This window comes from Homo sapiens, assembly GCF_000001405.40.
Source record: "Homo sapiens chromosome 16 unlocalized genomic scaffold, GRCh38.p14 Primary Assembly HSCHR16_RANDOM_CTG1".
NCBI lineage: Eukaryota > Metazoa > Chordata > Mammalia > Primates > Hominidae > Homo > Homo sapiens.
Window position 1 is genome coordinate 372,603 of NT_187383.1, and position 11,329 is coordinate 383,931.

Genomic DNA, 11,329 nt, shown 5'->3' on the forward strand with positions numbered 1-11,329 from the left:
TGGATGTTTTATTTGATACCTACCAAAGAAACTTAACTAATTGTATAACACTTAACCCATTTAGAATTCAGTTGTGGCAGCATAACCAATCTGGAGAGACCAGGGGAGATGTTACTAATGCTTGTACTTTATTCAGAAGTGATTGCCTCATTGGCTTGGTGCAGTGACTACACACCTGTAATCTCAGCACTTTGGGAGGCTGAGGTGGGTGGAGTACTTGATCTCAGGAGTTCCATACCAGCCTGGGCAACATGGTGAGATCTCATCTCTACAAAAAAATACAAAAATTAACCGGGCACCAATGGCGCACCCGTAGTCCCAGTTACTCGGGAGGCTGAGGCACAAGAATCTCTTGAGTTGAGGAGGCCAAGGTTGCAGTGAGCCAAGATTGTGCCACTGCACTCCAGCCTGGGCAACAGGAGTGAAACCCTATCTTAAAAAAAAAAAAGTATTTTTTTCTTCATCTAATCAAATTTATTGGGGCAGAAATCAGTACAAATTTCATAGGACAGGAGGAAACCAATATAAACATCTCAGCATTGTAGGAAATTTAACCCATGGAAAGCAGGGCTGAATTAAAGACCACTTTGAAGGCCAGGAAAAGCAGATAATTTAGATATAGTCAAAGTATGAAATCATTGATAGATCCAGAACAAGGGAATAATATATGTGTTTACATATTAGATCTACTTTATTAACAATTTTCCCTCTGTTAAACTAATATCAACTAATAGTAGTCTAGGTAAGTCAAGTTCAAATTAAGTGGTAACTGAAAAGTCTTCCTTTTTAAAGAATTTTAATGGTAGAGGCAGCAGCTACCCAGAGTCTACTTATTCTTACTTCACATAGAATTCTAACAAGTTAGGTTATCTGATTTCTGCTTCCTAACAAATCACAAGTATCGAAAGGGTCTTGCAGAAGGGGTGAACTATAAAATGTGACAGCTGACAGCAAGGCATGGGAACAAAAATAAACTTAAGGTGAACATTAAAAACATAGCAGCTTGAGACAATTTATAGGATTCTGCATACAACCGTCTCTGAGGACATCACTGTGATCAAATTATACAAGTGATGTTTAGTGATGAATTGGAATCAAGATAAGTAGTAGGTGTTATTTAAAAAGGCAGTATATGTGTTGCATTCAGTGGCAACAATTTCACCTTAGCTATTTAGTTAAAAGCTTAGTGCTTAACATGTTGGAAAATTTATGGGTAAAATATATTGACTTATTCCTTGACGATTGGAGGCTTTATCACAGGAAGTTTTCCCATTCAATTGAAACATTTTTCAAGCTTAATGACTATAATTTACTACATAATTTATTTTGTTAAAGTTTGAGAAAAACTAAATAAAGAAGTAGCAATTTAAGTCATAATAAATTTTGTTAGATGACTTCTTCCACTTTAGGGGGAATTAAAAATCTTGTTTAAAAACCACATGTGCAGCAGTTCTGTGACCGCCTCAACACCTAGTTGGCCATATAGTCCCTTTGCACCACAGAGGTTGGAGTATAGAATATGCCCAAAGCTGTTTTGTTTTGTTTTAACTATGCTGCATCATCTGAGGTTGTGTTAACATAGTTTGTCCTAATAGTCTTTTACTGGAAAGTTGCTATATTTGATTATGTTCAGCAAGTAAACTAATTTTATCTACTTTCATATATTTTGAGACAAAGTCTGGCCCTGTCATCCAGGCTGGAGTGCGGGGGCGTAATCGTACCTCACCACAGCCTCAGCCTCTTGTGCTGAAGTGATCCTCCCACCTCAGCCTCCCAAGTAGCTGAGACTACAGTCATGCTTCATCATGCCCGGCTATTTTTTTACTTTCCTAAGAGACAGAGTCTCACTATGTTACCCAGGCTGGTCTCGAAGTCCTGGACTCAAGTGATCCTCCCTGCCTCAGCACTCCCAAAGTGCTGGGATTGCAGGTGTGAGCAACCATGCCTGGTGTTTTATCTTTTGCAGAAATCCAGTTTAGTTAAGTCATGTTGTAGCAAGCATCATTTTCATATAAAAAGTGTACAGTTCATATTATTAGCAAACGTATTCTGTAATTTTATATTAGTTATGGTCTTGAAGGACATTGAAAATCTGTTCAGAAAGACTGTGTTTTTCAACCAGAGATGACATCACTCTAACTTTCCTTTGGTTTAAATGCTTGATTCTTTGCTTACAAAATTTCTGTTTTGAACAATTATGGTGAGAAAGTATATTTGTGATACTGTTTTCTTAGAACACTGTTGTCAGATAGATCAGCCATAATGTTAACACATTTCTGATCTCTATTATAAGGCTGTAATTTTCCAAAATAAGATAGAAAAGGAGAAAAGGGTAGTACATTTCATAATTACTGAGATGAACCCTGTACTAGTGAGAAAATAAAAATGCCAACAATTTATTAAATTTTCAGATTTCCTGTAATTTTCCATCACTATCTCTCATACATTTCTCTGCATGATCACACTAAAGATATAAATTAATCACATCCATTCAACAAATCAAGAAACTCAAAACTCACAAGTACAATCTTCAACTCTGTAGAATGCTACCAAGAAGTAAAATAAGATGAAGGTAGAAAGATTCTCTTTGAGGACCAGGTGCGGTGGCTCACACCTGTAATTAATTCCAGCACTTTGAGAGGCCAAGGTGGGCAGATTGCCTAAGGTCAGGAGTTCAAGACCAGCCTGGCCAACATTGTGACAACTCGCTCTACAAAAATACAAAAATTAACTGGGCATGATAGTGGATGTCTGTAATCCCAGCTACTCGGGAGGCTGAGGTGGAAGAATCACTTGAATCCAGGAGGCAGAGGTTGCAGTGTGCCAAGGTCATGCCATTGCATTCCAGCCTGGGCCAGAGAGCAAGACTCCATCTCAAAAAAAAAAAAAAAAAAAAAGAAAAGAAAAAAGAAAGATTCACTTTGAAATGCTGCATGCAACTATATGACCACACATTGGAAAATCTAGAGAAAATGGGTAATTTTCTGGAAAAATATAAATGACCAAAACTAATCCAAGAAGAAATTAAAAATGTTAGTAGACCAGTTACAAAGAAGATAATGTAAAATGATTTTTTAAATCCATAATTTAAAAAGTACTAGGGTTGCAAGAAGGATAATTCCAATGTTATTTAAAGTATCCCAAATTTTTTTAAAAAAGAAAAACCAATTCATTTCACATAGGCAGTGCAGCATTAATATGAAAACCTGATAAACATAAGACAAAACTATAGGCCAGGTGCCATGGCTTACACCTGTAATCCCAGCACTTTGGGAAGCCAAGGCAGGTGGATCACTTAAGATCAGGAGTTCAAGACCAGCCTGAACAATATGGTGAAACCCCGTCTCTACTAAAAATCCAAAAATTAGCCCAGCATGGTGGTGTATGTCTGTAATCCCAGCTTGAACCCAGGAGGCAGAGGTTGCAGTGAGCCAAGATCACGCCACTGCACTCCAGCCTGGGTGACAGAGCAAGTCTCCATCTCAAAACAAAAATAAAAACAAACAAAAAAACCAAAACTATAGACCAATCTGACTTATACATGTGAATGAATATTCTAAATAAAAACCCAGCACTGTTATCAATAATTGCAACAACAAAAAAGAGTAATACAGTATGCAAAGAGCATTGTATTTCAGGAATTCATGGGTATTTCAATATCAGTTAAGTATATTAACACAATTACATAATTGACATCAAAGAAGAGGAAAATGTGATTATATCAATAGATGCTGAGAGGGCTATTGTTAAGATTAAACATCCACTCCTAATGAAGATTCTTGAGTAAAATAGAAATTGAAAGAAAGTGTCTAAACATAGCCGTTATTTATGAAATGCCTACAAAATAAGTATTTTAAATCATAAAGGAACATTTCAATTAAAACAAGGAACCAGTAGGAATAGCTGCTGTCATTATTTGTTATTAAAGATTATCTTGGAGGATCCATGAATGTAACAAGATTTTTAAATGAAATAATCAGTATAAATATAGAGAAAACTTTTTGTGGATATGATTATATGCCTAGCAAATCATAGAGATTAGGAAAAACAGAACTTTCAAATATTTTAAAGAGGAATATTGGTAAGGTATTTGGAAATAAGATCATAATACAAAATACATTAGCAATAAGCACCTTGAAATGCTAATGGTAAAAATATTCACAATAACAAAAATAATAAAGGTAAAATAAATTTACCAAGAAAGAAGATCTACAAGAAAAAAACTATAAAAATGTTAACAAAAGCTATTAAATAAGAAACACATGGGGCTAGGTGCAGTGGCTCATACCTGTAATCCCAGCACTTTGGGAGGCTGAGGCAGGAGGACTGCTTGAGCCCAGGAGTTCAAGACCAGCTTCGGCAAATTGTGAAACGCTATATCTAAACAAAACAAAACAAAACAAAAAACTATTTGGGCTTGGCGCATGCTTATAGAACCAGGTACTTGGGAGGCTGAGGTGGGAGTTTGGGGCTTCAGTGAGCTGAGATACCACAACTGCACTCCTGCCTGGGTGACAAAGTGAGACCCTGTCTCAAAAAAACAAACAAAACTCTTGTAAAAACATAAATCTCCTAAAATTATATATAAATTCAATTAAATTCACATTAGAATCACAAAAGCATTTTAAAATTGGATTAAATTATCTTAAAGTTCATGTAGAAGAATAGTCAGGACATTTTACCCAAAAAAAGACTATTGAGAGGAACTTTTCTCACCAGATATCAGCACCTACTATAGAACTATTGGAATTGATCAATTAAGAAAAACAATTGTATTAATTAAGAATAAGCAAGAGTAGTAAAAAATTGAGAATCTACATGTAGATGAAAAATTAATATATGAAAATAAACAATTCAAAGAAAACAAAATTGGACCCTCAATTTACACTGAAGGCTTTGAACTGATACATAAAATGATTTTTAAAATGATTTAAATATGTACATAAATGGAGAGAGGAAGGGTGGGAGAGAAGCGGGAGAGAGAGAAAATAGAAGACTAAAGACAGGAACACCTATGTGGAAAAAGATAACACTTAATGACAAAATATGTTTTATGTGAATATCAGTTATACATAATAAATATTGGGGACATTGCATTGTGGGTTACAGTAAAGCATTAAAAAACAGAGTAAGTGAACAAAAAAAGGAAAGAAAACTACCAAATTCCATGTATGATACCCCGTTTTGAAATTACATAAATTAAACATGTGTACACATAAGAAAATTTTAAACATTAAAATTTTGTTAACAAAATGGATTTGATAACACGAAGGCCATTGATGACCTTACCCACAGCAGCTTTGTTTAAATGGGGATTAAGGATGGAGCAAAATTTTTATTAGAACACTTTGAATAATGAATTAGCAAACTACAATAAACTGAAATCTTACCTACCAAATAATCTCAGTAAAGTAAACAAATCTAAAAGAAATGAATAAAACAATTGTGAGCAAAAAAGGATAGAGTCACTGCATATAATGTAAATGAGACAAGGATGGCCTCTGTGTATTGGCGCCTAGGTTATTTCTTCACAGCAAGCTGAAACCCATTAGCTCAAAAACCAACTGGCACCAAACTCAAATTTTTAAACATCCAATTGTGTTAAACATAGCCCAGACATGCAGATCTGTAGGCATTTAGAGCCTGCCTGATTTACATGCCCTGGGAAACTACGTCCAAAATCTGCTTGCCACAGATAAACTCTAGGCTGTAAAGACCCCAAGCTGCTTCTGCTCTTTGGAACTCTGTGAACTACAGACTCCATGCCATGCTGCTGAGTGATATCACTGAGACATGAAAGCCTCCTCTCTGATACTTTCCTCCCTCAGGAGTTCCTTTGCCCTCCTCCCCTTCTGAGTGGTGGCCCCCTTGTCTCAAACCTCTGGTCCATCTCTTGCTGTGAAGGCCTTCCCCAGGATACAAACCTGACAAGAGATCATCCAGATAAAGCCCATGTGTGCTTCTGTCACATCATTTTCTATATTTTTCTAATTTTTTTCTAAACTTTTCTAATTTTTTCTTAATTTTTATAAAATTGTGGATACCTAATAATGTAGTCTCAAAATAAATAAAGCCAAAATTAGAATTGGAAAAAGCAATAAAAAAATCTACACAGTGAGAGATTTTAACATTTCATTTTTAGTAATTGAATAAATAAACGTAAAATTAGTAAGGCTAATCAACAGTTAAAGAATTTCTATTCTTTTCAAGCACACTTGGAGTATTTACAAAAATTGACCAGATATTAGGCCTAAAGGTAGTATCAAATGTTTACATTGGTATAACAAATGTGTAATAGCACTATTAGAAATCAATAACAAAAACTTATCCAAAAGTAATCCATGAATTTTAGAAACTACAAACAGCTTCCAAATGATTCATGGAAGCAAGAAGAAATTATAACAAAAATTAGAACATGCTTAAAATTGAATTAAAATGAAAAGATTACCAATCATTATATATGTAAAATAACTGAAGCAGTACTTAGAGTGAAATTTACCAGAAGCAATTCACATTCATGGGAAAGACAACAGCATGCATTTAGAGACTTGTCCAAGATGTATATTAGTTCTTTGACTCTCTGTCCTAATGTAGTCCAGAGACGTGAGCTGTCTGGACATTCTGTAGCATGTTACATTTGTCCATTTTATTTACCAGTTAAAATAGACTGGGTAAGAAATAGCATGTTGGATGGCCTAGTGAGACACATGCATCCCTGAGAGAGAAAATCATCTGAAGATTTAAGGACCTGTGACATCAGTCACAGAAGATTTTAGGGGGCCCATTGGTCCCCCTATACTAAGGAATACTGTTCTGACACATTTGCTGAGTGACACAGAAGGCTTCCACCTTTGACAAAAGCTTAGGGCAGAAAAGGCCTCTGCAGCAGGTCCAGGATACAGGGCAAGCAGCCCTACTGTTTGAGCCATACACTCTAGTAGGCTCTATGGTATTAGAAGTATATGCAGTTGGAAAAAGCACCATGTAGAGTTTATAGCAAACCCTAATAGACGATTCACACATAGTCTTGTGGGGTTCACTGGCATGGTCATTCTCTCTGCAAGTAATTGTATATTGTATAAATATATAGCATAATTGTGTACTTTAATAGCTCCTAGCATGCTACTGCACCTAGGTAGAGATGGATTATCTGACAACAAATATTAAGTGACCATGTGGCTAAAAGTTCCCACCATGAGTTTGGTTTTGTTAGATCTACCAGATCATAAGGACAGGCTGGCCCAGCAACAAATCATAATAAAATAGAAGTAGCACATTGAATTAGTCCATTTTCACATTGCTATAAAGAACTACCCAAGCCTGGGTAATTAATAAACAAAAGAGGTTTATTGACTCACAGTTCCGTATGGCTGGAGAGGTCTCAGGAAACTTACACTTATGACTAAAGGCAAAGGTGAAGCAAGCACCTTCTTCAGAAGGCAGCAGGAGAGACAGAGAGCAAGGGGGGATGTGCCAAACACTTTTAAACTATCCACTCTCATGAGAACTCAATATCATGAGAACAGCATGAGGGAAATTGTCCCCATGATCCAGTCACCTCCCACCAGGTCCCTCTCTCTACATGTGGGGATTATAATTTGAGATGAGATTTTGTAGGGACACAGAGCCAAACCATATCACATCAAGGATTGGGCATGAGAAAGACTAGAGGACACAAGTAAGCAGTATGATCAGGTGATCCAGGTCCCCACATTATCCAAATTGTGACAATAGATTCTCTCCCTCAGCTGGCAACTCTGCCTATGTGGGAGTTCCAATATTGCTAAAGGAGGAAAAAAGCTAAGCTTGTTCATTGGAAGATCAACTCAGGATGCGGATGTAAGTAAAAAATGATAGCAACCTACTTCAGCTATGGAAAGATAGCAGTAGATTAAATCCTCCCAAGGACGGTTCAACATATACGAATCAATAAATGTGATATACACATTAACAGAATGAAGGACAAAAACTATATGAATATCTCCATGGATGCAGAGAAAGCATTTGACAAAATTCAACATCTTTCTGTAATAAAAACTTTCAACAAATTAGGTATCAATGTCCATATAACACAATAAAGGCATATATGATAGGCCCACAGCTAACATCATACTCAATGGTAAAAAGTTGAAAGCTTTTTCTCTAAGATCAGAAACAAGATGGATGCCCATTTTCACCACTTCTATTCAAGTTCTAGCAATTAGTCAAGAAGAAGAAATAAAGGCATTAAAGTCAGAAAGGAAGAAGTGAAATTGTCTCTGCAGACAACATGATCTTAAATGTAGAAAACCCTAAAGAGTCCACCAAAAAAAAACTGTTGGAACTAGTAAATTAATTCAGTAAAGTTGCAGGATGCAAAATCAACATAAAAAAATGAGTAGCATCTGTATACACTAACAATGAACTATCTGAAAAAGAAATCAAGAAAGCAATTTCATTTATAATGGCTACACAAATACTTAGGAATTAATTTAACGAAGGAGGTGAAAGACTTGTACACTGAAAACTATAAAACATTGGTGAAAGAAATTGAAGAAGACACAAATAAATGGAAATATATCCCATCTTCCTGGATTAGAAGAATTCATGCTGTTAAAATGTTCTTAGTACCCAAAGTGATCTACAGATTCAATGTAATCTCCATCAAAATTCCAATGATATTTTTTATGTAAACAGAAAAAAGTCCCCAAATTCATGTGAAACCACAAAAAAACTCCAAATAGCAAATTGTGAGCGAAAAGAACAAAGTAGGAGGCATCACATTATCCAGTTTCAAAATATACTATGATGCTATAGTAATCAAAAATATAACATGATACTGGCATACGAACAGACTGGTAGACCAATGGAATAGAATAGAGAGCCTCAAAATACATCCACGTTTAAGGCCAATTGATTTTCAGTAAATATGCCAAGAATACACAATGGGGAAAGGACAATCTTTTCAATAAATGGTGTTGGGAGAACTCCACATGCAGAGAAATGAAATTAGACCCTTATCTCATACCATATACAAAAAAAAAACACAAATGGACTAAAGACTTAAATATAAAACCTGAAACCATAAATCTACTAGAAGAAAACATTCAGGAAAAGCTCCATGAGACTGGTCTGGGCAATGATTTTCTGGATATGACCCCCAAAGCACAGGCAACAAAAGCAAAAATAGACAAGTGGGATTATATCAAACTAAAAAGCTGTGCAAGCAAAGGGAGCAATCAATAGAGTAAAGAGATAGCCTACAAAAAGGGAGAAAATATTTGCAAGCCATACATCTGATAAAGGATTAATATCCAGAATATATAAAGTATTCATACAACTCAATAGCATGAAAACATATAACCTGATTAATGAAAGGGAGGCAAAGTACCTGAATAAACATTTTTCCACAGAAGACATACAAATGGCCAACGGGAATATGAAAAAATAACCAACATCACCAGTCATCAGAGAAACGCAAATCAAAACCACAATGAGACATCCCTTTTAGAATGGCTACTATGAAAAAGACAAAAGATAACATGTGTTGGCGAGGATGTGGAGAAAAGGGAGCCTTTGTATACTGTTGGCAGGAATGTAAATTAGTACAGCTATTATGAAAAATAATATAGAGGTTTCTCAGAAAGTTAAAAATAAAACTACCATATGATCCAGCAATCCTAGTACTATTTATATACCCAAAGAAAATGATTCAATATGTCAAAGAAAAATCTGTACCTCATGTTCATTGCAACATTATTCACAATAGACAAGATATGAAATCAACCTAAGTATCCTTTAACAGATGAATGATTAAAGAAAATGTGGTGTGTATATACATAATGAAATATTGTTCAGCCTTAAAGAAGGAAATCCTGTCTTTTGTAATAACATGGATGAAACTGGAGGACATTATATTAAGTGAAATAAGCCAGGCACAGAGAGATAAATGCCATGTAATCTCGCTTATATGTGGAATCTAAAAAAGTCAAACACATAGAAGCAGAAAAGAGAATAATGGTTATTAGGGGAGGGGAAGGAAGGTAGAACTGGGGAGATGTTGGTCAAAGGATACAAAAATTAAGATAAGCAGGAAGAACAAGTTCAAGAGACCTATTGTACAACATGGTGACTACAGTTAATAACAATGTATTGCATACTTGAAAATTGGTAGGACAGTAGATTTTAAGTGCTTTCACCACAAAAGAAATGATAAGTATGTGAGGTAACACATGTATTAATTAGCTTGAGTTAGCCATTTCACAGTGTATCCATATTTCAAAACATCAGGTTGTACACTACAAATATATACAATTTTTGTTTGTATATTTAAAATTTTTTAATATTTAAAAATTCAACTCAAAAATAAATTCTTGGCCAGGCACAGTGGCTCACACCTGTAATCTCAGCACTTTGGGAGGCCAAGGTGGTGGATCATGAGGTCAGGAGATCGAGACCATTCTGGCTAACATGGTGAAAACCCATCTCTACTAAAAAAATACAAAAAAAATTAGCTGGGCATGGTGGCGGGCACCTGTAGTCCCAGCTACTTGGGAGGCTGAGGCAGGAGAATGGCATGATCCCAGGAGGCAGAGCTTATAGTGAGCTGAGATCACGCCACTGTACTCCAGCCTGGTGACAGTGCAAGACTCTGTCTCAAAAAATAAAAAAAATTAAAAAAAAAAATTCAGTAGGCAGAACTTTGCACTACGCACCTTGTCATTCACTTTGCATGGAAAGAGAAGAGACTCAAAGTAAGAATGTACTGACTCATGGTCAAATGGCTTGGCTACAGGTCAGGGGGATGGAAGGAGAAAATTTGGAAGACTGGAGAAAAAGACATCTGAGAAAAGGACATATAGGTGGACTTATGGGGATGTACAAAAAGTATGAAGATCTTTGTTTCACATGTTAACACCTACAAGAGGTATCTATCAACAACCAAGGAGAAAAGTGACTCAGCCAGATGATGTTAGCCAACCTCTTCCATTGGCCAGCTCAGTACTGGCACAATTGGTGAATAAATATAGTGACAAGGATGGAGGTTATGCAGAGGCCCAAACAGCAGAAGTCTCCACTGACTAAGTCTTATCTAGCTACTGCTGCTTCTGAATGTCAAAGTTGTCATCAAGACAGAGCAACACTGAGGCCTCAAGATAGCATCATCCCTCAAGGACACCAAGTAGCCACATGGTGGCAAGCTGAATGCACTGGATTCTTTCCATCACAGGAAGGGTAATGATTCATCTTGGCTGGAACTGATACTTATTCTGAGTATGGATTTATCTTTCCTACTTACATGGCCTCAACCAGCACCACTATCCAAGGGTTGACAGAATGTTTAATCCTC